Genomic DNA, 27,603 nt, shown 5'->3' on the forward strand with positions numbered 1-27,603 from the left:
AATGCAGTTTTTCTTTTCTTTTTTCTGTGTATATGATTCCGTATCAAATTTTAACTTCTAGATGTTTATTTTTTTAACTGCAGTCAAGGCACAAACCAGTGTAAATCAGCTGCACAAATGTTTGTCATAATAAATTTTTATTAGGTTTTATATTGGAAGCCATTTAGAAACTAGTCTTATAATCACTCATAAAACATTAGCTATCTTATTGTTTTACAAGAGTATGTAGAGTATAGTAATTTCTTAGTAACATCCCAAATCCGTCTTTCTCCAAACACAATACAGCAAAGCTGTGTTTTCTGTGATTCAGTAAGTCAGATTGCATTTTGAGTATTCATGTAGTTTTCCCCACCCCCCTGAATCAGGAATTTTCTTCCCCCATTATTATTGTTTTCTTAAAAAAAAAAAAAAAAAAAGATGGGGTTTCGCCATGTTGCCCACACGGGCCTCGAACTTCGGAGCTCAAGCAGTCTGTCTGCCTTGGCCTCCCAAAGTGCTGGGATTACAGGCATTTTATTACTGTTATACAAATGGCCAGGATGTTTCTCTGCTGTATTTTCTGAAACTTGACCCACTATAGATTCTCACTATTAGAGGTCAGTGGGTATTTTTAGTAGAGAAGGAAATTTTCATGAAGTACGAATTGAGCTGATTTTACTGTGTCTGTGACAATATATTTTTCAGGCTACAGAACAAGCATGTAGCAAGCAAAATGTTTACATGTTGTTATGTTTAAAGTGTGTGAAGGTGATTGGTTAATCTGTGTTGGAAAAGACTAGCTTTATGGAGTACTTGGAATCACAGTTAACTATAGTGGTATGAATTCTGATATTATTTTCAAGTTGCTTTATGGGTGCTTGTATTTGATGGGTTTTGAATTGGAGTATGGAAGTGAAAAGTTAAAACTGAACACATACATTCTACTTACTTGTTATGTTACTCCATCAACCTTTTTTTTAAAGAGACAGGGTCTTGCTATGTTGCCCAGGCTGGACTCAAACTCCCTGGGCTGAAGCCATCATCTTGCCTCAGCCTTCTGAGTAGCTGGGACTACAGGTGTGCACCACCATGCCCAGTTTTCCACTGACCTTTTTAAACACTGCTCCAGGATAGTCAAAGTTAGTGGGAGGTCTCATTAGGGTGCTGGTGAAGTGGGCCTGGGAGCCTCAGCCTGGCTTGTAATTAAACTCAGGGAATCAATTCCTCTCATCCAGGCTGGCCCGGTGGGTTTGGTTCTGATGGGTATACTTTGTTCCTTTTGGTACTGTTATGTTTCTTTTTCTCTTGTCATTTGAAATTAATTTGCGTACTGTACTGCTAACTCACATCTTGAATTAATGTAAGGAAATTTGGGTCATTGGCCCTCAGAGTGAGGACCAGGACATTTTGTTGTTAATTTGAAGGCCAGTTTCACAGACTTAAAAACTCTCCCAGCAGTGATTAGGGCTTTGGCTTTAAGTTAGACATTCTTCCTAGTATATAATTGCTTTGGCCCTTTGCAGGTGGGGGCTGCAGTTCTCTTCTGCGAATCGTTGTTTTTCATGAATTTGGCCTGTGTCTTTCTTAGTATAGGCTGGGACCAAAGTACCATGGAAAATCTTTTTAGACTTGGAGAAGAGGAAGCAAAATAAGAAGAAAAAGGAATAAGCTAGTTGCCTAGAGAAATGCAAAAACTGAAGATCTTTTGTAATATTCTTTTAAAGTTTTCTTTAAAAGCTTTGGGGACATATTTGGGTGGAATTAATGTCTTACTAACAGTGAGGATCTGTTCATTCTGTTTCCAGAGTGTCCTGCCCCAAACCCTGCGTTTGAGCTCAGGGATTGTTGGAAATGCGGGGTCTTGCTAGAAGGTAACCAGTGGCTTGCTTTCTTAGGGGAAAGGGAAGTTAATCACAAGTGCCCACGTGGCAGCCTTTCCCTGTCAATCAAAAGAATAGAACTAGCTGGGTGTGAAGCACTTGCGGTTTTAGTGTTATGTGTGGTTAGGGGGAGAGGTTGCGAGGGCCTGTGGTTGTTACCAAATTCTTTGAAATGGAAGTATGGGTACAAACAAAATAAAGAATAGGAGAGAAACCCTGGTGCTCTGTGTGGGGGAAAGAAAAGTTCATAGAATTCGACAAATAAATGCGTTGTAGTAGAGATGATCTACTTTCTGTTTTTTTTTCTTATTAGTTTTGCAGTGCATTTCTTCATTTGTAAAGGGTAGTTGATTTCAAGAATGGATTCATGATCACATCTCCGTGGTGTGTTGGGGGACAGTGTGGATGTGGTACAGCCTTGACCAAAATGCCTGAGTCCTGTGATAGATTTGGCCAGCTCAGATACACATCTGTCTAGGAAAGAAGGAACCCAGACCAAGAAGATGAGTGTTAGTCAGGGTGGTTTCTACTGAGACTTTTTGACTAAGATGAAAATGAGTTACAGTGCGGTTATCCAGAGATCACACATCTGGCCTGCTCAGCTACCTTCACAGCTGATGATCAGCTGGTGGTGAAAAGGAAGACTGCACAAAGCGCACGAGGAACTTCTGAAACTGTACTCAGGGACTCCTCTCTGTGTGTGTATGTAACTGACAATCTGGCCGCTCAGCCCAAAGAAAATTTAAGACAGCAAATTTAGGAAAAGGCCCTGAGACTGGAGGGAGTGTGGTTAATGAAGAAAAGAGAAAGAAAAAAAAACATTAAAATTAAGCATAAGAACTTATTGGGAGGCCGAGGCGGGCGGATCACAAGGTCAGGAGTTCGAGACCAGCTTGGTCAACATAGTGAAACCCCGTCTCTACTAAAAATACAAAAAATAGTTGGGCATGGTGGCACGTGCCTGTAGTCCCAGCTACTCGGGAGGCTGAGGCAGGAGAATAGCTTGAACCCAGGAGGCGGAGTTTGTGGTGAGCTGAGATCACGCCACTGCACTCCATCCTGGGCAACAGAGTGAGACTCTGTCTCAAAAAAAAGAAAAAAAAAAAGTAGAGGTGGGGTGATAATAGCTCTGTATATGTAAGGTCAAAATGTTTCAGTAACATCCTCATCCATCACCTTATGACTGAATACAGTATTCTTATAAACTGTCCTGAAATCCCTAAGAAAAAAGCTGTGGCCAGCCTGCTCTTTAATGAAGAACATGTGTAATTTCCATTCGCAATCATTACAAACAAATAGAGTAAGCTTTAGTTCTTAAAGTTAACTGTATGGATGAAAGCCTTCCACATCCATTGCTTCCTCTTTTAATTCCATTGAAAAGCCTTGTCGGCTTTCATCAGGTAGGTATTCCTGAGGTCTCCTCACAGCTGAGTTGAGCCACCCTGTTGAGAGTTAAGTCCACGTGTAGTTTTGTCTCAGTTACTGGTTAAAACAGAGGAGGTTCACTTTTGGGTTGCTGTGACTATAGAGTGATGACTGCTCATGACAAGCCTTCCCAGGCCTCCTGGCCTGACTTAACCTGCTTTAACTGTTGATGGTTTTGCAATGTGGTTTCCCCACTTCACAACCTGAATCTGTGACTTTCTACTGGGAACACTCACTACGTTTCCCTTTTCATGCCTGGGGAATAACCAAAAAGATACTACTGTGAACGCTAAGTTTTATGTTTTCATGCTTTTATGCTTTTCCTCCTTGCCTTTTCTCTAGTCTGTTTTCTATGGAGCATAGACTAAGTCATTTCTATTTTATGATCATTTTAAGGGACAGCTTGGCAGGCAGTTGGCTTTTAAGTAGTTGGGCAGTTCCTTGCCTCGAAATAATTCATTTCTTTGTATGTCTCTTGCATTCTAGGCAAATAAAAGTACTCTCTGTGTGTGCATGGAGCACAGAAATGGGGATTTAAACATCGTTGGCTGCATGTAGGCCCCATCTAGCTGAATCTGTTACCTTATATTCTTGTCAGGATGAAGTCTGGTTTATCTCTGGTGAAACTGTTAGGGATTACAAAGAAGGCCTTGGATTCTTTTTTTTTTTTTTTTTTTGAGACGGAGTCTTGCTCTGTCACCCAGGCTGGAGTGCAGTGGTGGGATCTCGGCTCCCTGCAAGCTCCGCCTCCCGGGTTCACGCCATTCTCCTGCCTCAGCCTCCCAAGTAGCTGGGACTACAGGCGCCCGCCACTGCGCCCGGCTAATTTTTTTGTATTTTTAGTAGAGACGGGGTTTCACCGTTTTAGCCGGGATGGTCTCGATCTCCTGACCTCGTGATCCGCCCGCCTCGGCCTCCCAAAGTGCTGGGATTACAGGCGTGAGCCCCGCGCCCGGCCGAAGGCCTTGGATTCTAGCAAGCTGGTGGCTGAGGGAAAAGATCAGCAATACTGGTTATGGCTAAGTGAGACTGCTGGGCTCACAGTGGCCTTTATTCACTTTTATTATTTCTTCTGTTTTCTCCATGATCAACGGTGTGACTGTTGGGTGGTTGAATTGAAACTTAGGAGTGTATGATGTTCATATGTTCCCACTTGATCTTTCTCAGGAGTGTTTGTACATACAGCCTCCCTGTCTCCCCTTCCTCCATCCCTTCCCAGTCATTTCTAGTAACCACTGAACACTGTATGAGGTGGAAAGTCCATCACGTAGTAGAGAAAAAGATTCAGGCATCTCACCTAAAGTTGTCTATGAAGTTTTCAAAAGCAAATATAATGATCTCCTTGTGCCAGTGGACTTCTTTGGTTTATTTGGGGGGTAAAATGCCTTATGAAAAGAGATGGTTTTGCACATCTGTGTCAGTCCCCATACTCTTCTATCCTACTTCTGTAAGGCCTTTGTGGGCCTGGGTCTGGGGGATCCATCTACCTTATCCCACACTTGCAGAACCTGGAGTTAATGCCCTGCTTAGGACTTGACACCTGTGCTTAAGGGTGCTATTTAGCGGGGTTGGATTGCTATGTCTCATTGACAGCGGTCCTGTTAGTTAACACAATGCCTACCAGAAGGTTAGAGTTGTTAGTGTTAGATGTGTTGTTGGTGTTCAGACATTCTTCGGTACTAGAGACAGGAGACCAGGAATGCCTAAATATTGTACCAGATCACAACTGTCTTCTCTTACTCAGTTCAACCTCCCCATTCCCTCACAGGACTCACACAAGAAACAATGAGAAATAGGAACAAAGTAGCACCATTATTTGGATTTGAGCTGCAAATCCAAGTGTTCAAAACTTTGGTTAGATGGGTTGGACCACATGGAGTATAGACAGCTTCAGCCCAAAGCAGGTCCTAAGGACCCTCATCTCCCTCCCATTTGAACTCTCTAAACCTGTATCATTATTTACTGTACGCTGGCCTAATAGAAGGACCTATGGAGGCTGAAGGGACCTAGAGTGAGGCCCTGAAATGGGTTTACTCCTCTTGCCTTGTTGGATAAGAGAGAAGAGGTTCTATCCTTAGGCTCACCTGTAAGATGTCAGAGCTATGCCAAGCAGGAGAGGGCTTTGGCACTCGCTAATGTAGCAGAGGGGATGCAGAGAAGACAACAGAGCCACAGTCTGCACCACAGCCTCAATAGCAAGTGCCCAAGGAGGAGGGAAGAAAAGGTGAAATTGCTTCTCCACCCTTAGATCCTTATACTCAGACCCCCTAATGTAAATAACCACCCTGTTAATCCAACCTGCGATTTTGAAGAAACATTAAATAAGACATCATACTTAGCACTTTGGGAGGCCGAGGTAGGTGGATCACCTGAGGTCATGTCAGGAGTTCAAGACTGGCCTGGCCAACATGGCGAAACCCTGTCTCTACTAAAAATATGAAAATTAGGCGGGCATAGTGGTGCGTGCCTGTAATCCCAGCTACTTAGGAGGTTGAGGCAGGAGAATCGCTTGAACCTGGGAGGTGGAGGTTGCAGCGAGCTGAGATCATGCCACTGCACTCCAGCCTGGGCAACAGAGTGAGACTCCATTAAAAAAAAAAAAAAAAAAAAAGATAGGCCTGTGTAATGTCATCAATTTGAGAAAATAGCCATTTTTCTCTTATGCATTATTAGTAAGATAAAGTATATTAGGAATGAAATTGAAATAGACATTAGATTTCTTCTCCATCATTTGACCTGTTCATAGTTCAAACAATTAAGTCATGATAGTGTCAACAGGGATTATCTTAATTTTAATTGTAAAAGAATCTGTTTTCTTTCATGAGGATAAACTATCAGGCTTTGGGCTTGGTACTTTTATTTGCTTAGGAACTGAGTAATTGCCTCATAAAACAGCATGATGGTACTATTAACACCGAATTATAAGACCTGTTATTATAGAATTTGCTTTTCTAGTTGGGATAAGACTTCATTTTTTGGTGCTTAAAATAATTAGTTTCTCCAAATGGGTGTATAATAAACAGGTAAAATTTTGCCTATTTAAAGTAAAAAAGTTTATAATCTCTTGGGTGGCTTTTATATATCTTTTGATACTTCCAAGGGAGGACTTTTTTTGGGTGGGATGGAGGGAGGAGAGGTATGCTTGACGTTTAGAGTGGACGTGTTTAAGAATGAGAATAAGTATTTTATTTCTGTCATATCTACCTGAGACATATTTGAGGCAGTTATTAACAATTTTGCCCCATTATTTTGTCTGATTTGAATATTAAGTATTAAAGGGTTCATTGACCAAATGTCCTTGAATTTGAAATTTTGGGGACTCTATTATGAGTGATAAATTTAACTGCGAGCTATATGGCAATTTGTTCCTGAGATCATTTAAAATTGTGTGAGAGCGTGTGTGTGTATTTATATTTGTTCGTTTATACTTCTTTGTCCATCTTTGCCATATATTTTGGGCATAATTGAAGAATAAACACTTCTTAAGGAACAAGTTATAATTGTAAATAGGAATTAACTGTTATTTTCCTTCTATTGTATTGCAAAGCTAAATGATGGTGGCAGATACCACTATGGGATGAAAGTAGGCTTTGTGTTATTTTGAAAATGTGTATGAATTTCATTACAATAAATGGAATAAACGGAATAGAAACAACGGAATCTACCTTTAAGCCTGACTGAAGAAGTTGCCCTGGATATATCTGAGATACAGGAAAGTTATGTTCACATGGCCACTTAGAGATTCTGGTCTTTTGTCTCCTAGTTCAGGCTATTTCCGTGCCTTTGTTCTACCCCTCTTTGGGGCCTGACATAATAATACAGGGCTCTCAAATTAGAATAACTTGGGTTTCACGATGGAGCACTTAGATTGTTATGTGACTTGTTGTGTTACAGGTGATTTTTGTGGTTCTGAGTCCTTTTTAAAAAGCGGCGGTTCTCTTGCAGGAAGCCAGTTGAGGGAAGTTCTCCATGAATGTACGTCACAATGATGATGACCGACCAAATCCCTCTGGAACTGCCACCATTGCTGAACGGAGAGGTAGCCATGATGCCCCACTTGGTGAATGGAGATGCAGCTCAGCAGGTTGGTGTAGGAAGAGGGAAATTTAAGTCAAATTGTCTAAGTGGGAAACAGTAACACAGTATTTGATTTATTTTGGGATTCAAAGGTTTGTGATTTCAAACCTTAGCATTTCTAGAGGTAAGTGTTTTTGTTGTAGAAATACTGTATCGTTTTTTAAAATGTGATTTTAGAGAACAAAATCTTCCCTCATTCAGTTTGTATTCTTGAAGTATTGAAAAATGGATGACTTCTGAAGTGAGTCATTTTCAGACTGCATAAAAGTCTTCGAAATAAAATGACTGTTTATTCATGCTGTATTGTGCTTGACTAGTTTGCTTGGTTGGCCAGAGCTGCATGCTCAGAGGGTCAGGTTTTGGCTTCACACAGGAGTGATCTCGACAAGACACGTAGGGCAGTGTGAACCCACCCTTGCTCCTGGAATAGTCCTTCCAAATGTGTAGCTCATAAAATCACGGTACTTATTTTCTCTGAATCTCCTTTGTCACTAGTCACTGAACATTGTGGAATAGAGTTATTTGTGAACTCAGTCAAGTAGCACTTGGGGGAAACAATTTAGACAGTAAGTGAAACTTTAACAAATTATTAGGGATTGAACTATTATCTCTAACATTAATTAAAAATTTTTATTGCAACAGTTGGGCTTGCACAGTTTTACAACTAGATATTTTATCTTTGTACATCCTTCAGAAGCATAAAAGCGAATTTTTATTTTGTGAAAAGTAGAATTGGGAGCAATTGCTTGGAAAATACCCAAAATATACTAATAATTCAAATAAGTTAATCATTTATTTGATGTCAGTACATGCCCCCTGCTCTAATCTATCATACAGTATATCCAACCTCTGTCTATCGTAGTATATTCTTTGCATATACTTGGTTGGAGCTGACCTTGCTGCTTAATAATTTATATTATTTTCTCCTGCATTGTACTATCAACCTCTTAAGAACAAAAAATATATAATAGGTGCTCAGTAAATGTTTGTTAGTTGAATGCATTTCATGTCTTCTCACCACTGATGCAGATAACTCCCTTCCTGATTCCTCAGTCTCTTCCTCTGCTGGATTACTTCCACCAACATACAGTAGTATCTTTTATCTTAAAAACGTAAACACCTGCACCTCTCCCCACCCAATAAAACAAAACCTCCTCAGTTGATTCCACATCCCCTTCCAGTTGCTACCTTCTGTCCCTTTTTCCCTCTTTGGCAGTATTTCTCCACTTCCTCTCCTTCCTTACCGCCCACTTTACAGTCTTCACTCTGTGTTCTCATCTTCCTCTTCAGTCTTTAGCATGTTCTGTTGGCTTTATCTCAGGAGTGTGTGCTGAATCCATACTCTGCCGTATCCACTTCACTTCCACTACCACTGCTGGACCCCGTGCCGTCATCTCACTAGGGTAGGACAGGACAACCCTTCTCGCTGGTCTCTCTGCTTTCCCTTTTGCCCCACCAGAAAGCAGTCTCCACATAGATCCTGAGGGGTCTTTTCCAAATAAAAACTTTCTGATGTCATTGGCCTACCTCAGGCCACGTTCTTACACCTGGAGTGAAATCCAGTCATGCTGCCTGGCTGCCAGCCTTCCGTGTTAGTGCTGGCCTCTCTCTCTGTCATTCTCTGCCTGCTCTTCTGCTCACTGTGCTCAAGTAGTTCATGGGAAGGTTGCAGAGTGTTGTGGATGGTTTCAAGATGCAGTGTTTGGTCTCCCAATTAAAAGAATTACTAATACAAAGAAAAAAAAAAGACAAGGTATTTAGTCAAATGTGAGTAAACTTGGAAAATGACTTAGGTCTCTCAGATGTGGTCACCTCATTCCCATTTGCCTGTGTAGCCAAGAGACCTGAGGCCACCCATCCATGTTGTTGTACACCATGTTTATGTTTTGTTGATTTCTCCCACATGTCTGTAATTCAGCTTGCCCAGCAGGCTACGTGGCATTTCCCTACCTTGCATATCTTACCTCAACTCTAAGCAGAAGCTGCTTAACAATTTTGGTTAATAAAACCATATTTTCAAAGCTGGATGAGGTGGTGCATGCCTGTAATCCTAGCTACTCAGGAGGCTGAAGTAGGAGAATCCCTTGAGCCCAGGAGTTTGAGACCAGCCTGGGCAACAAAGTGAGACCCCATCTCTAAAAAGAAAACAAAAACAAAAACCCGCATTTTTATTAAATCTTTTTTTAATCTTATTAAAGCTTTCTCTAAAGCTAATAAGAAGAATCTGTTAATGTATCTGTTTTATAAATAGTCAAAATACTCAAGCTTTATGAAAAAGTGGGGGTACACTTAAAAAATCTCACAAGAAGGAACTGTTTTGTCTTTTTAATTAGTAAATATGTTTGTGTTAGAAGCATTAACATCCTTGGTTCCAAGCTATTACTTGGCATTAACTCTAACTTTTCCTTAATGGGCAAAATTGTTAAGTGGGTAAAGTGTGTTAGAAATGTCCCTCTCAGCAGGACCAGCCCAAGATTTACCATGCTTTGTCATTGCCTCTACATCACTGGGGCTCAGCCTAGGCAGTGGCCTCTGTGCTTGACATTTTTCTTCCTCATTCTGCTCCCAGAGTCTCCATCCTGTGTCTCCTCATTCTTTCAAGCCTCAGTTCTTTCCTTTGGGTTCTAACATTTAGCATTGGCCTAGGTGTGCGTGGTAGAGGCTTGGGGCCTGTGGGTTGAACCCAGGTGAAGGCACAAGGGGAAGACAGAGTGAAGGAGAAGGAAAACCAAAAGTGGCAGAGAAACACAAGAGGATGTAGGGAAAGGGGAGAGATAGAGGGCCATTCAAAAGAAGAAAGAACAAAGGTGAGTCTCCAAGACAGGATCCCAGAGTGTGGGGCTGCATGAGTTTTGAATGCTTGCTTTGGGCACCTGCTGATGTTTGCTGCCTGCCCTTAAGAGCCTGCGTAATGTGGTGCTCAGGTGGTTCCATGTTAAAGGATCAGGCTACAGCAGACATACCAGAGAAAGTGATCTATATGAATGTTTTCTGAGGCTTTTACTGTGCTTTCTCACTGAAGCAACACCTTTTCATCTTAATAAGAACCTTTTGCAGGCACAGGATTGACTCTAGGGGTGGACATTGCAGGCACTGTACAACAGACCCTCGGCGGTGGCATCCTAAGGTATGTGGCACCTCAGCCACCTCTCACATCATACAGTTGTTAAGAGCCATCCCCTGGCCATAGGATTCTGCCTCTGAATATCTGTTAGGAGTGTGTATGGTGAAGCTTACCTTGTATGTATTTACAGCGTTCTTAATACTTTGCAGCTGTGCAAAGGACATTCTAAACATTTCTATATATGCAAAAGAACTACCACAGTTATGAGAAAGCTCTGCAGTTCCCACAGCCCTCCTCCTTCTGATTTCTGTTCTGCTGGTTCTGGATGTAATTAGGACTAGTTCTTGGCAGGATTCTCTGTTGCGTTCTGGCTCTCTAAATAAGACACACTGTTAATTTTCATTATTTGAAGTCAAATTAAGTTTGAAACCTTGGCTTGTCATTTTGCGCAGGTAGGAGGGAAAGGGCAAGAGTGAAAAGGATGATTATTTTCTTAAAAAGAAAAGTCATCCTCATTACGAATGAAGCTTTTAAAAGCATTATCAACTAAAAATAAATAACAAGAAACAATGTGAACAGAAGCAGCTTACACAGTTTTCCTTATTTAACAGCTTTACTGAGGTATAATTCACATGTCATACCATTCACCCACTGAAAGTATACAATCATTGGAATCTGGTATATTCACAGAATTGTACAACCTTAACTACAATTAATTTTAGAACATTTTTATCACTCTAAAAAGAACCCTAGAGGGATCACTCCCTATTTCCTGTTTCTCTCTCCCTTCCCCCCGTCCTAGGTAACCACTAATTCACTTATTTTCTGTCTCTGTAGGTAGATATTGCCTATTCTGGAATTTCATATAAATAAAATTACATAACATTTGGTCTTTTGTGTCTGGCATCTTTCACCCAACATCTTTGTTTTTTTTTTGAGATGGAGTCTCGCTCTGTTGCCCAGGCTGGAGTGCAATGGCACGATCTCTGCTCACTGCAACATCCACCTTCCGGGTTCAAGCAATTCTCCTGCCTCAGCCTTCCGAGTAGCTGGGATTACAGGCATATGCCACCACGCCTGGCTAATTTTTGTATTTTTAGTAGAGATGGCATTTCACCATGTTGGCCAGGATGGTCTTGAACTCCTGACCTCAAGTGATCTGCCCGCCTTGGCCTCCCAGAGTGCTGGGATTACATGTGTGAGCCACCACGCCCGGTTCACTCAACACATTTCTAAGGTTCATTCATATTGCAGCATGTGTCAGTACTGTATTCCTTTTTTATTGCCAAATATTTTACTGCATGGATCTACCACATTTTATTAATCCACTCATGATCTGATAGACATCTGAGTTATTTTCACTTTTTGGCTGTTATGAATAATGCTGCTATGCACAGATTCTTGTGTGGACATGTTTTTTATTTCTCTTGTATATATAACCGTATATATAACCAAAAGTGAAATTGAGTAGCTTTATTTTGAAGTATTATTTTCCAAATAAAGTTATCTCTGCTTTGTATCACCATTAATTTCTCCCACCTCTGAATAACTACAGCCTAGCTTAGCTAAATAAAGTTTGCTTCCCTTAATATGCCTAATTGTATACTATTGTTGAGTTATAAAAATCAGGTTTCAACCTGAGTTTTTAATGTGTGGCTATTATAAATGATGATGAATGCCCTTCAATAATCAGAAAATTGATGCCTTTGTTGACATTTTCAGAAGCTTGTGGTATATTAACTTACCTGTGTTTGTTATGGACTTCTGCATTTTAGCGATTTTAAAATGTAGCAGCCAGTTTTGCGCACAAAAGAATAAACATCAGCCCAAATTCTGACTTTTTATTGATTTAATATTTTAATAATTTCTGAAGAATTATAGCAGCTACCAGTTAAACCATTAGATTAAAAACAGAAGTGTCGACATAGGGTGGCAGAGTTTACTGATTTGTTAATTTAACGTGATACTTATAAGGGTATCTGTGACCTGCATGAGAGTAGTGTGCCACTTTATATTATATTCTTAGTGACTTTGCTTAAATATGTATTCACTGAGGGTCAATTCCTAGTGGAACTGGATTGGATTAGATACCTCTTTGACCTGACTAGCATTTAGCATATGGAGGACATCGAGTAAATGATTTGTCATACTATTCTTCTTCTCTCTTGCCTCTTTTAATTCTTCTATTCTTCTAGAATATTGCTGAGTGTTTTTAATGCTTCTTCTTCAGAAAGTAGAACTCCTTAAACATATACAGAAAACTCGCTTCTCCTGCTAGCTCAGGATAATTTATCATCTACTTGCCCTGGAAGGCAGAAGGCAATTGCCTCAATCATGTCCAATTCTCTTGACTTTGCCTATTCCTGTTGATCAGCACTTAGCATGTCATTTCATGGAGAGAGTTTTTTTCCCTCTTTTGTTTCTTCTTTTGAAAGCCCTTGTTTCCTCTAGGCAGAATATGTAACCAGAGTTTTTTCCTGGAGTGTTCTTTTGAATACACATTTCCAGACAGTATGTTCAACATATTAAAGCTTTCCACCCTCAGATGGTGCTCATCATCAGCATGTCTTTTCCATCAAATGTGCCCCTCCTCCTAATCCAGTGACCTTTTCTGTTCTGGTTGATATCTTCTTAATAACTTTCTTCTTGATGGCTTCCGTCTTGCATTCAGTAGTTCAAATCCTGTCACCTCACAGGTTTACTCCTTAAATATACTGATAGCCACGGTGTCGGGGGACCCGTGAAGAGTTTTGCTTACATAACAGAGTTTGTCTACTCCTCAGAAATCCCAACAGAAAGGAAGTTTTGTAATCAGTATATTGTAGAAAAATGAATAAACAACTCTTGAGACGATTACCCAGGAGAAAGAAGGATATTCAGATGAGAATGGGAGTGACAGTTAAAAAAGAGACTGCAGCTATTATTGCTAAATAACATTATAGAAGAGCTCCTTTTGTGGCAGAATCCTGTTATGGGCTGGGACTTGAGCTAGAAAGTAGAAAGAGGCTGGTCATATGTTGGGTATGGAAAACCAAGTATGGGGAAGCTCGGTCTTGGATCACATTCTTCAGCATCAAGATGCGTGAGAAATGCACAACCTGTGCAAATACTTAAATGAAATTATTATTGCTGACTGCCGTTCATGCTTCCTCTACCACTCAAATTTATAAAGCCCTCTGGAGTCAAGATACCGTCAGCCTCTCTCCTTTGAAATTTGGGGTGGAAAAGAATGAGAGGATAGGCTGGCATGTTGGCTCATGCCTGTAATCCCAGCACTTTGGGAGGCTGAGGCGGGCGGATCACGAGGTCAGGAGATCAAGACCATCCTGACTAACATGGTGAAACCCCGTCTCTACTAAAAATACAAAAAAAATTAGCCAGGCGTGGTGGTGGGCGCCTGTAGTCCCAGCTACTTGGGAGGCTGAGACAGGAGAATGGCGTGAACCTGGGAGGCGGAGCTTGCAGTGAGCCGACATTGAACCACTGCACTCCAGCCTGGGTGACACAGTGAGACTCTGCCTTAAAAAAAAAAAAAAAAAAAAAAAGAATGAGAGGATAGGATTTATGACTAAATTTAGGAGTGACTGAATAATAGATTTGTTCATTTTAATAAGTATTTATCAAATGTCTTATATGCTGGCAGTGTATTAGGTGCTGGTGACAGAAAGATGAATAAGGCACTGTTCTTGCCCTAAAGGAATGAGCAGTCTAGTTGAGGAGCAAAATGTGGCCTACCAAAAAAAAAAAAAAAGGCTGTATTTACACATACGTGAAATCACAGGAGAGTGCTTGGATTGCAGAGTGTCACAGTGCTTAGGAGTTCAGAGGAGGAATTGAGGATTGGGATAAGTGGGCAGGAAAACAGACCAGGCTAGGAAAAGTATCTGTGGGGAGGCTGAGCCTGGGTCAGATCAGATCTAAGATGAAGTGAAGGCTAGAACTATCCAGACTTTGTACATCAAGTAATCCGTTTCTGTTTTATTAAAGGAGAATACATTATAGGGATTACATATGCAGTGGAGAGCTATTAGGGGCACTACAAACAAACCTTATCTGCATAGTCGGTGATCTCTTTGCTTGAACTTCTGCTACTTAGTGTCTTTGTTAGTGAATGTATTTGTCCTCTGATTCTCCAGTCCGAAGGTCCACCCGTCCGCTTGATGCCTGTTGCTCAGAATTACTGACTCCACAGTGGGGCAGATCACAAGCACCCCCCACAACCAGATCCACTTTTCCAGCTGCGGAGGCAGCAACCCTTGCTTTGAGGGCCTCCTTTTAACTATAAAAAAAAGGTGTGATTTTATCCAGATCTGTGGTCTGACTTTTCAGATCTCTCTGAGTTAGTTTTGCCAATTTTGCTCACTACAAAAGCTTCCAAAAAGGCATAGCCTATGCAGAATCTCAGTCTTACAAAGGAAAATGTTGATGCCATGTTATCAGAGGGTGTTGTTATATGTGGCACCCCCAATAATTAGAACATAGGACATATAATTATGGCAGCTCTGAGCTGTCTGGGTTGAGAGACACTTCAGAATTTAATTAGCCAAAGGCAATAATAATAAGATATAAGATGTAGTCAGTATCCTTCAAATGCTAGAAATTGAGCTGCCCTTAAAACAGGAAGGATTAAGGTAAAATACTGGCATGGTAGCATTGCACTGCAGAATAATGGCAATTTTAAAATCTAAGGTGATTTTAACATTATGATTGTTTTCAAATTATTGCAATTTTTGGCTGTCTGATTTCCTTGTTAACTCAGGGTGGGTAGGGACTGTCCCTCTCTTGTTCATGCTGTGCCTGGCATCTGAAGTAACATTCAGTAAATCTTTTTGAATGGATGAAGGATGAAGGCAATGAACAGATTTAATTCATCTATATCAGGGCTTGAAAAGTAGCTTATTGCCTTTGTCATACAGGCATGGGGGGGGGTGTGTGTGTTGTTTTTGTTTTTGTTTTTTTACCTTTAGTTTAAAAGAAAAAGATTTCAGTACCAATATTAAAAATGGGAAGATTTATATAAAACTCTGGATTTTTCTGTTTAATTGGAAAAACCAGAAGACATACGCCTGTAATCCCAGCACTTTTGGGAGGCCGAGGCGGGTGGATCACCTGAGGTCTAGAGTTCAAGACCAGCCTGACCAACACGGTGAAACCCCGTCTCTACCAAATTGCCGGGCGTGATGCTGCATGCCTGTAGTCCCAGCTACTCAGGAGGCTGAGGCAGGAGAATCGCTTGAACCCAGGAGGCGGAGGTTGCAGTGAGCCGAGATTGCGCCATTGCACTCCAGCCTGGGCAACAAGAGCAAAACTCTGTCTCAAAAAAAAAACAACAACAACAACCCAGAAGATATGTTAACACTGGGCTGGTCCTTCCTACTTGGCAACAATTGGCACAGAAGTTGCAGCCATTTGCTGTTGATGCGGAATGTCCTCTTCGGTGCCTACTCTGTCCACTTCACTTAGTTTCCGAGCCTGCCTGAACTCTGTGGTCATCCGGGTTTGGAATCTGGAAATTGTTAACTTTTTAAACTTTAAATTGCATCTTGTGCTCATGCATATCATATTTTAAATACAGAAAAATGATTAAAATTTTTTCAGGCATGTGCATTGTGTATCAAACTGATAATGTGTTTTAAAATCTTTTAGTTATCTACTTGCCCCATGACTTGTAAAATGAATTAGGCTGGGCGCTGGTTCATGTTGCTTTGTAGAAGGATTTCAACTTTACCTCTTACATGTTAGGACCCGTGTGGGTTTTTTTGTTTTGTTTTGTTTTTTGGCTTTTAGTTTTTAGGATTTGAGGCCCCCAATAAGTGCCGCATGGAACATTCACTAAAGCATAGACAGGCCAAAAGAAACAATCCTATTCCTTAGTTTTACTGTTTACAGTCTAGTTAGGAGACATTAAACACAGATGCAAGGTAAAAGCAGTCCAAGCGCAGAGATGCAAATACTTGTGTTTATATTCTTTTTTACAGTTTCCAAGAATTGAGTCTTTAAGTATTTATTGAAAGAGTTGTTTTTAAGGGTAAACTTTTCCTGGTATTACCTAGATGAGGAATTTTTATTTAAAGCATTTATGTATGTATGTATGTAAGTATTTAAGACAGGGTCTCCTTATGTTGCCCAGGCTGGTCTTGAACTCCTGGGCTCAGAGGATCCTCCTGCCATGGCTTCCAAAAGTGCTGGGATTACAGGTGTGAGCCACTATGCCCGGCCATAAAGCATTTCCATATTAACTTTTAAAGACATAAGATTAAATTGGATAGATTTCCAAACTCTGATTTCTCCTTTTCTTGTTTTGAAAATGTGTATTTGTCATGTTGAATGTGATGTGATAGCTACTGATGTATCTCATAGTACAGTAAAAGTAGTCTATAAACACAGGAAGAAAAGATGAGACACTTCTGCATCCAGAATGTGTTAAGACGAGACACTTCTGCATCCAGAATATGTTTGCACATAATCGTTTTCATGTAGGCAGACTCTTTTCTTTTTTAGTCCAAATGATTGATTTAAACATATGACTATATAAAATATATGCGTTACACTCCAAACATGACAGTAGTAAGCAAGCTGCGTAAAATTCGTAACATTAATCTCCAAGTTCCAAATGCAGATACTCATTCTCGTTCTTTTTTTTTTTCTCTCTCCTACATTTCCAAATGCAAAAATAAACAGCCTGCCAAGGAGCCAGTTGCTGAAGTGCTGTAGTGTTTTATCTAGGTAATCTTGGATTTAGCTGCCTTTAGATTATATTTGTTCCCTCATTTAAATTGGCATTGGCCAGAACTAGATGCCTCTTAGTCATTTTCTGGTCAGCTTTAATGTTACAATAACTTGAAGCTAGACATGGTGGGTCCCCAGAAGAAACATTATGCATGTGCTGCTTTAGTGTTAATGCCTACATTGGTATTTCTTCCCTGCCCTGGGCCTTTTTCCTTAACAGGTGACCATCAGATCAGATCATCTGTTGAGAGGGAATGTGTTTTACCTGAGCAGCAGGTGTGTTCAGCACTTTGATGAACAAGAATAATTTGGCCCTCCCTTCCTGGGTCTTCTCTTTCCTGCCCCTTCCTTGCTCCTTACAGCATAGTAGACAAGCATTTGAATAAAATGGACAGTCTGCATTTAGCAAATTACCCTTCCAAGGGCTTCTGCTTTGCAAATAATTGGGCAGTTAAGTGGAGACAGCAAAGATCCAGAGGTAATTGTGGTCTAGTTTTGGGTGCAGGTTGACTAGAAAGTATATCAGTAAACTTGTTACTAAGGTTCCATTTCTGTTGTTTAAAAAAATGCAAATCAGTTCTTGTTAGCCACACCTTAGATTTGAAGGGACATGGACTTGTGTTATTGACCAATTATGTTACATGACTTTTAGTTTTCAGGAAGGGTCATTAATATGTTTTGTTTTTGAGACTCACTCTGTTCCCCAGGCTGTAGTACAGTGATACAGTCCCAGCTCACTGCAGCCTCAACCTTCTGGGCTCAAGCTATCCTCTCACCTCAGCCTCCTGAGTAGCTGGGACTATAGGCATGCACCAGCATGGCCTGGCTACTTATTTTTATTTTTTGTAGAGATAGTCCCCTTATGTTGCCCAAGCTGGTCTCAAACTCCTGGTTTCAAGCCATCGTCCTGCCTAGACCTCCCAAAATGTGGGATTACACAGGTGTGACCCTCTGTGCCAGGCCTTAACCAAACCTTTTGTTGTTGTTGTTATATTCATGCAATCAGAAGTTGATAATTTTTTTTTTTTGAGTTGGGGTCTCATCTTGTCACCCAGGCTGGAATATGGTAAAATGTTTTTGTGTTTTCTAAGCAGTAGTCAGAAACATTAATCACTGAGCATGTTACTGTCTCAGAAGTTTCTTTGGTCTTTATATTGGAGTGTTGAGTTGTCATTCTAGTTCAAGGGAGAAGCTGTGACATACAGAAGGATGTGCTTTAATTAATGATGTTGTTTGGTAGTTAAATAGGCCACAGTAATGCAGCTAATTTTTAATTTTTGTTTTATATTGCCAGAATGGATCTGTTTAGAACCCATTTAAACTCTTATCACCTTGGCAAAAAAGTCACATGGAAAACATCTATATAGAATGGCTATTTCTTTATAATTTACTTGATGGCTTTAGTTATGACTGAATGTAAAACTATAATATAAAATATTAATAAGAATTACAAATGAATGGCATCCATATTTTTCTCTTAGGGTTTGTGATAGGAAATCAGATACTAGGTTTATCTATATGAATAATATCTGTCTGTTTTCAGGACACAGGGAATCAATTGATGGTGGAGTTGGGTGTTAGGAGACATTATCCTTTCATAGATCGGTGTCCACATCCAGCTTACTTCCCACGGTCTCTTGCTTTCTCATTTTTAAAGTGGTTTACTCGGGATGAGAGTGCTCCTACTTTTTATTGACTACTTCTGCACACTTGGAACTTTTTTTTTTCTCTCTAGATGAAGTCTTGCTCTGTCGCCCAGGCTGGAGTGCAATGGCGCGATCTCAGCTCACTGCAACCTCTGCCTCCCTGGTTCAAGCAATTCTCCTGCCTGAGCCTCCCAAGTAGCTGGGATTACAGGCACCCACTACCACACCCTGTGAATTTTTAAATTTTTAGTAGAGATGAGGTTTCAACACATTGGCCAGTCTGGTCTCGAAGTCCCAGCCTCAAGTGATCTTCCCGCCTTGGCCTCCCAAAGTGCTGGGATTTCGGGCGTGAGCCACCACGCCTGGGCCAATCTTGGAACTTTAAAGAGCCTCCATTAACAAGGCAGAAAGATAAGTGTCACACCAGGTGTGAATGCTGTCTTTGGAGGGGGACAGTGACTCATTTTCTAACAATTACTCTTAAACCTAGAGGGAAATGTAGGACAAAAGATGCTGTAAGGTTGACTCTTCCAGAGATTTCCATACCTTAGCAATCTAAAAACTGTATGAAAGGTCAGAGTTAGGACTTTGAAAGAATGCTAAGTGTTAATTTTTGGCATTTACCTCAAACTTAAGTGCTACTTTGGAAGCCTGCTGATTACTAGAATGCTTTTAGTCTCAATCCAATCTCAACTTTTACTTGAGTGGTTATCTGTGGACACTAAGTTAAAATTGTTGGAAACAGTGGCTTTTAATGGATATTTTTATCTCTTTCTTCCTGCCGAGGTGGAGGGAAGGATTAGTGACTATTGGGGAGGGCTTACGAGGTGCTGGGGCTGGTGCTGAGCCCTTACACACATTATTTCATCCAGTAATTACACACGCTGTAAGGCGGCAGTCATCTTTATAGACAAAACCCGAGGCGAGAAAGGTTGAGTATTTGCAACTGGCAAATCACAGAGCTGGAATTTGAACCCACTTATCTCCTCTTCCAAAACTCAGATCCTACCTTCTGGGAAAGGTGGAGCTGCCTGGCTTGGACTCACCTCTCTTAGTCTTGTTCAGGTAAACAGCTGGGGAGCGAGATGGCACTTGGTTTTTGCACAGTAGTAAATTGTAAACTTTATAGAGGCCATTCCTCTTCATTATCTTACATGATCTCCACATTAACTCCAGAAGGTGGCAGTGCCTCTGGCTCCCCAGCTTCTGAAAATTGAGGACTAAGCAGCAGTGGTAGTGTCGGAAGGCCTGGAGGTCAGGCTTGTGTTTGCAAAAGGAGCTGGGAGTGAAATCTTCCGAAGCCCCAGTCCGGGTCACAGCAGCGGCTCCCTTTTTTCCTTAGGGAATGGTTCTTTTCTTGAGATTGGCAGTAGGAGGGCTGCTCCCTCCCGGGTCAGCAGTTGCTGAGAGATGGTGGTGGCCAGAGAAGGGTAGTAGACGGTAGTAGTAGGTAGAGATAGTAGAGGTAGTAGAGGTTCCTCCCCCGTGGGAGTCTCACCCTGGAGTTAGGAGAGGGCCTTTTGCCTACCTTTTCTTCCCAAACCCCGTCCTTCATTTCCATTAAAAAATTGCATCACCCTAGATGCAGCTTTGAGACTAAAGAAATTTAAAACCTTGTAAGATTTGAACACATTAGGTGGTTTTTCATTCTGAGTTTACAGAGTAATGCCAGAATAAAAGAAACAAAGTGTATCCTTCAAAAGGAAAGAAAATGGCCACTTCGCGTCACAGGTATTTCTTAAATCTCTCGCTTCTACTTTTCCTGTTTTCTAAGGGGAATACAGAATTAAGTGTCACGCAGATTTTTACTATGAGCAGTGATACCGTACCGGGTTGCTCATGAGTTCCTCGTTTTCTTTGTTTTAGGTTGATGAAGGACTGCTTGGACTTTGACTCTCCTGAAGATGTTAATTATATGTTTCAAAAATCATGTGTTCTGCTAAAAATCACTTATGCATAGCCTTGGAAAAAGAACTGGAGGCAGGGAGTTGCTTCAGGGTGCAGAATATCGTTTTGGAGGCCTTGGGAAATAAATCTTGAGTTAGTTCATTTACCACCAAGACATATTTAGTCACTGTATATAAACAAAAGAAGTCACAGTGTGCCTGGACATTATTTGTCCCAGATGGAGTTTCAACTTGGCTCATTATACTGCACTGATGTCATGGTACATAAACTGGCTCCGAATTCAACGTGCATAGAATCGGCTGTGTGCTTGTATGTGCTGAGGGTGTGCGGGAGGAGGGGCGGGGCTGGCTGGAAAATCTTTGTCACATTTTTCCTTTGCTCTCTGTAGAGGCTAGTGTCAGTCTTGAATTTGGACTTGGTGCAGAATGAGAGAAGAATTGGAATAATCTGTTCATGTGTACAAGTCAGTGTGTGTATGTCCTCAAAGCTGTAGTTCTTCCAAGACCAAGAATCTAAGTGTGCCTGGCTTTCCAACAGTTGCTTAACAAAGCTCTAGTAACTCAAATCTAGAAAGGAAAATCTTAAAAGCATTACATTTTAAAAGAGCATTTTTAGTGTGTTTGCCTTGAAGTCTTAAATCTGGACAGCTTCTTTCAACTTTGTAATGGTCTTAAGTATCCAGCTGTAAAATTCTGTTTTCCTGGATTGTATGGTGGACAACGTCTCAAACTAGTTGCTTAAAAGTATATAAAAAGGTGGCCGAATTTAATTCTTCCTGTGTGCTTTGAGAGGGCAGCTTGTGGGTCAGAAAACTGAGCCGGAGAGGGTCCTTTCCTGGACTTCTGAGCCCTTAATAGGAAATTTCCACATACTGTGGTGTTACTTTATTACTTTTTATTGCTGGCTTTTGTTATGATAATCTTAATTAGAAGCATTTCCAAGTAATTCAAACCATTTTGTAGATGTAAAGGGCTTAGATTTCAGAACTTCTGTGAATGGATTCCTATAGGAGTCACTCTTGTTGCCGGGACACACAGAAGCTGAGCAGACACTGGAATGTGAATGCATTGGGAGGTGAGCCCTTAAGGAGAGCCCAAATGTTTACCAAAGAGAAAATCTGGTCAGAGGTGAGAAGTGGCTGGTTTTAGATTTTATCGAGAGCATGAAACATGGCAGATTTGGTAAAAAATTTTTCTTGAGACTGTAATTTTACTTAACTGAGAGACTTGTTACTGGTAGGAATTTGAAGAAAAAGAAGTTGGGGGTAGAAGGCTCTGCTTCAGGGAGGAACACATATTTCCTAGAAGAGAACTTGTCCTGCCTTTGGGGATGTTCCTTTGACCCAGTTAACTGCATTCTCTTATTTTAGCAGTCTTGTTGAATTATCTCTGTATTGAATTGACATGGTGAAACCACGCCTAGTAGAGGGGAGAAGTGGTGGTGTGGACTAGACGAGTATACATTTTGGTCAGACATGGCTGGATTCCAGTCACTTTGTAGTTTTGTGACCTTGGAAAAGTTGCTTGTCTTCTTCAAGCCTCAGTTTCCCCACTTGTAAAATCTAGTTACTATCTACCTGGCAGATGACAGGGATTCAATAAGTAGTAGCTGTTTCTTAATCATTGTAGAAAAAAAACCTGGAAAAAGGAGTTGATAAAGTACCCTGCATCATGCCAAATTAATCTTACAGACACATGTGATATTGAGGATACAGCTTTTTTTTAAACAAAGAACAGCACATTTTTATTTTTAAGTTTTATTTATTATTATTTTGAGACAGTCTCACTGTGTTGCCCAGGCTGGAGTGCCATGGCAACTGCTGCCTCCCGAGTTCAAGCGATTCTCATGCCTCAGCCTCCAGAGTAGCTGAGACTACAGGCACCCACCATTACCCCCGGCTAATTTTTGTATTTTTAGTAGAGACAGGGTGTTGGTCAGGCTGGTCTCTAACTCCTGATGTCAAGTGATCCATCTGCCTCAGCTTCCCAAAGTGCTGGGATTATAGGCGTGAGCCACCACACCCGGCCGAGGATACAGCTTTTGAACCTTCTATTCTTTGAAGAAAACAGTATTAAAACTTTTGGAGTAGTGGATATTCTTGCTCCTTATTTTGCATAGTAAGAGTCCTAAAGCCCAGGAAAACATATTTGCCATGTATCCTACGGGTTGTGTTGAGCAAGGGGAGCTTCACCTACAATGTGTACCCTTGGACCTTGAGTTCCCAGTGTTTGCTTAGGTCCCCTTGGAGGCTTCCTGTTATTGTATATTATTTTTCAATCAGCTTTGGATTCAGGCTTCAGGTAGGGCAGTGAGCAAAATGAGGCAATGGACACATTCACATCTTCTTCCAGGATCTTTCTAGTTTACTTGCTTATGTTTTTAATCCTGGGACATTTTCTTTGCATGTGTTATTACCACAAAGATAAATATTTGGCATTCGCACCCCATCGCTTCCCTTTTCCTGATTTGGAGAAAAGAGGGGGCTCAAAACACAAATACTGCTTACTTTTCAGTTTTGCCTGAGGCCAGCTGTGTTCTATGGCACACAGACTGGGGTCTCAAAGGTGTGTGTGGATGAACAGTTTGGGTATGGGGGCCTGGGAAGAGCTTGGAGATTGGGAATCTTGGGGGTGGGGCTGGGGAGTGGGGAGTTGGGAGTATGTGTGACCAGAAAATAGTAGCATGAGGAATAGGTGGTAGTACTCTTCTCATGTAGTCAAAGGTCACTTTTGAAGTTATTAGGTATTCCTGGCTAGAATCCTTAGTTGCGTGGAACTCCTCTGCAGCTTTTAGATTGTATCATTTTCCCCCTTAAAGATACCTGTTGGATAATCATAAATGTGGGCTCCAAGGGAGAAGTATTCATTTATACATGAAAACAAGCTACACAAAGTGTGGCCAGTGGAAAAAACTCTAGAAGTGAAATGGGATCTCCTCTCTGGTATGGTTTATATCTTGATTGTCTGAGGGTTGGATTTAACGCTTAAAAATGCTGCAAGTGTACTATTTTGTCTTTGGTCAGTTGGTACTCTTCTCCCAGGAGGAGCTTTTTTTTGGGAGACAGTCTTGCTCTGTTGTCCGGGCTGGAGTGCAGTTGGCACCGTCACGGTTTGCTACAGCCTCGACCTCCTGGGCTCACGCGATCCTCCTGCCTCACCCTCCTGAGTTGCTAGAACTACAGGAATGCACCACCATGTCCGGCTAATTTTTACAATTATTTTTGTAGATATGGAGTCTCACTATGTTGCTGGGGTTGGTCTGGAACTCCTGGTCTCAAGTGATTCTCCCCGTCTCAGCCTCCCAAAGCACTGGAATTACAGGCATGAGCCTCTGTACCTGGCCAGAAGCTTTTTTGATGGACTGATCCATTACCCTGATTGCTTATTTGAGTGACTGGTAATTTTTTTATTTGAGGCATAAATTAGACATTTGCCTCCAGGAGTAGTCTTAGATACTATTGGCACCTGGTTAATCAGCCACCCAAGGTTTAAATTGCAAAAGTAGCCTCCCTTTTCCTCTTTTAATGAGTATAAAACAGAGTTAGGTTTAGATTTATACCTGTAAAGGAAAGATATTACACCTTCTTTCAGTTCTCCTGTTAGACAAAGAATTCCCATGATGCTGTGTTTACTCAATTGTATTAATTGCAACTCTTGTTTTATTGTTTCTCTGGACTTTGGAAGAGTGGTCACTTATTTTTCATTAAACTTTGATAAACTGCCTTCTGTTTATTTCCAGCTTCTTGGTTCATGTAACACTAACGGTTTTGAAACAGATCTGATGAAGCAATAGTAGCTTAGAGGATGCTCCCATGATTTGATTAGCATGGTTCTTCTTAAGATCTCTGGAGAAAAAAAATATCTAGTTAAAATCTTTGTCTTTTTTTTCTTCCTCTGAAGACATGGTGCAGTATGAATCAGTTTAATGCTGACTTTGGAAAAGTAGGAAATGCTTAGTGAGTAGACAAAAAATGATGTGGTTTGGACAGCGATGTTCTGTATCGCATTTTATATTAAGGAGGACTTGTAGCAGTTATTATATTTCTGCTTTGTGGTTGGGGAGAGGGAGGGAGGGAGGGGGAGAGAGAGAAATTGCCCAACTTGTATGATAGGAAAGGTTAAGTGCCGGGAGTTGGCCAGGTTGTGACTCATGCTCCTCGGGGCTGCGTGATGCAAGACCTTTTGCCGCCAGCTCATTCATGTCTGCTGTCAGGACCGGTCATTGGGCTGGTGTGTGTCAAACTTATTTTTATCTCTGCTTTATTGACAATGAAAACAGCTAGGTGGTCAGCCTCCCTCAGTATAATAAAATGCTTTCTTTTAAAATACCTCAGTGCCAAGATGAATATGGTTTGTTTAAATAATGACTTCTGCTCTACTGAGAAAAATTGATATTGGGACACAGGAGACTTGCCTGGTTTCTGAGGTAACTTGGTAGATTATAATCTGGTTGCTATGGCTACTCAGCAGCAGTGAAAATTACATGAACTAAACATTTGAAGGGAGGTATTTTCGTCGGATGCTTAAAAGCCCGTTACCTATCATCTTTCTCCCTGAAGAAGTGGGATGGGGGTCAGGAATTGAACTCAGTAAGCAGGGGGGGAAGGTATAAGTGGACCTTAGAGGCTGGATGCCTCTGCGTCGTTCTTTGAAGTTTGGCCTGGTGTCAGTGACCACTGAGGAACTGTTACAGACACTTTTTGTGCAATATGATAAGCAGATAATGTGACGACAGTCCGGACATGTCCCAATTCAGAAATCCGTTTTCTTGCCTGGGACTTTCCGTAATACTGGTGAATTGTATTTTCTGAACCGGTATTCAGGGCACATTGTCTGACAATTATGAGCGTGGTAGAAGAGAGTATATGAATTTGGGATTGTCAGAGAAAATCTAGGACATAGAGTCTTGGCATCCATTGGTTCCCCCCTCCCCCAGCTAATTAATTCCATGGGCATATATTACAGTTCTATCCCTAGAGCTTTAAACACAAAGCAAATGGTTTTTGCTTTATTACAGTGATGCTAGAATTGGTCTAAGGACCTTTAAAAAGACATGGATAATTGTCTGTATTGAAGTGTGATTTTCTTCCATTGTAGTTTTTATATTGTATATTTATGTAAAAATAAATGATTTTCATGTTAAAGAAATGACTTTAAAAGCTCCTTTTCAAGAAAACAAATATTTGGCCCGGCGCAGTGGCTCACGCCTGTAATCCCAGCACTTTGGGAGGCCGAGACGGACGGATCACCTGAGGTCAGGAGTTCGAGACCAGCTTCAACATGGAGAAACCCCATCTCTACTAAAAATACAAAATTAGCCAGGCGTGGTGGTGCAGGCCTGTAATCCCAGCTACTGGGGAGGCTGAGGCAGGCGAATTGCTTGAACCTGGGAGGCGGAGGTTGCAGTGAGCTGAGATCGCGCCATTGCACTCCATCCTGGGCAACAAGAGCGAAACTCCGTCTCAAGAAAAAAAAAAAAAAACCAAATATTTTAATCATTCTAGAGATCTTGAAGGAATTTCCTTTTGAGTTTTTGAAACAGTACAGTGTGCTTACATTGGTGATAATTTAAATACTGAAAACTCAAAGATTATCTACAGTTATTATATAGGAAAAATAAATTGCCTTGAAATAACTGTCATAATTCAAGATAATGAGAAGCACCAAGGGTGAAGCTTAGTCTGAGTTTCCCTGAATGATCCTGTTTTTTCCAGGTAATGTATTTTCTGATTTAAAAAAATTTAGTATTCCAGCAGTATCATCTGGATGAATTATTAGAAGAGGCAAAATACATGGATATTAAAGATTGAGTATTTAAAGATGAAATGGTTTTGATTTCAAAAGTTTTACAAAACAAATTATAGTGTATACAGTAAATAAAGTTGACTTTTAAATTGCATCTTATGAAAGCTTAATTTCTAAGCTGAGATAATTATTTGCAATAGTTTTTTTTTTAATGTTTTATGACTTTCATTCATTCAGTGAAAGTAGTTATTGAGCACATAACTTATTCTATGCCAGGCATGGGGCTAGATAGCTGGATGTTATCCTTATCATGCCTAGATTAAAGAAGGAAAGGCAGACACTAACATAATTGCTTAGTTAATTGATTGCAGTTGTAAATTCTAGGAAGAAGTAGTAGAGCGGGTATTTTTGTTTGATTTAGAACACATAGTGGGGGACTTGACCTGTCCTGGGAGTCAAAACACTGTTATCACAAGCTGAGAAGGATGAATAGACGTTGGTTGAGGATGGAGGAAGGTAGGTGGTAAGCTAAGATGAAGGAGTACAGGAAGAGTATCACAGACAGAGGAAACAGTATGCTTGACAGTTTCAAGCCAGGGAGGAACAGGGCTTGTTCCGATAACTGTAGGATGAATGTGACACTGACATCCTGTCAATTTCTAGAAATTATATGGTGATTTTTAAAATAGTGTTAGCCTTGTACATGGTGGTTTTTAACTATAGTTTTTGTGGTGGTGGTGGTTGTTTTTGAGATGGAGTCTTGCTCTGTCACCTAGGCTGGAGTGCAGTGGTGTGATCTAGGCTTGCCACAACTTCCGCCTCCTGGGTTCAAGCCATTTTCTTTTCTCAGCCTTCCAAGTAGCTGGGATTATAGGCACCTGCCACCACGCCTGGTTAATTTTTGTATTTTTAGTAGAGACCAGGTTTCACCCAGGTTGGTCTTGAACTCCTGACCTCAAGTGATCCACCTGCCTCAGCCTCCCAAAGTGCTGGGATTACAGGCGTGAGCCACCGTGCCCAGCCTAACTATAGTTTTTTAAGTTGTATTATGTCTTTTAACTTGTATTTAGATATCAATTAGTGATTTTTTTCCTTTGATTATCCTTTGATTAGAACTATTAATAAAACTATAAGGCTGTTGACAGAACGTA

At 40.9% G+C, this 27,603-nt stretch overlaps 1 protein-coding gene across 11 annotated transcripts in view, besides 1 other annotated feature; it reads left to right on the plus strand.

Annotated features, from left to right (window-relative positions):
• FNDC3B (fibronectin type III domain containing 3B) overlaps nucleotides 1-27,603 on the plus strand; it is a 362,092-nt gene that overhangs the window by 65,645 nt on the left and 268,844 nt on the right. For all 11 annotated transcript variants that reach the window (NM_022763.4, XM_017007062.2, XM_017007064.3 and 8 more), the window contains one exon: nucleotides 7,230-7,368. In NM_022763.4, the coding sequence (NP_073600.3) occupies nucleotides 7,258-7,368 (111 nt within the window). In that variant the 5' untranslated portion in view covers nucleotides 7,230-7,257. The remainder of the gene's footprint in view (nucleotides 1-7,229; nucleotides 7,369-27,603) is intronic.
• Nucleotides 2,053-2,142: an enhancer, noted in NCBI's record as "active region_20819". NCBI's record gives its function as "activates an Ori minimal core promoter by ATAC-STARR-seq in GM12878 lymphoblastoid cells {active_cell/tissue: GM12878}" and the evidence as "EXISTENCE:reporter gene assay evidence [ECO:0000049][PMID:35858748]".

Source organism: Homo sapiens, chromosome 3 (genome assembly GCF_000001405.40).
Source record: "Homo sapiens chromosome 3, GRCh38.p14 Primary Assembly".
Classification (NCBI taxonomy): Eukaryota; Metazoa; Chordata; class Mammalia; order Primates; family Hominidae; genus Homo; species Homo sapiens.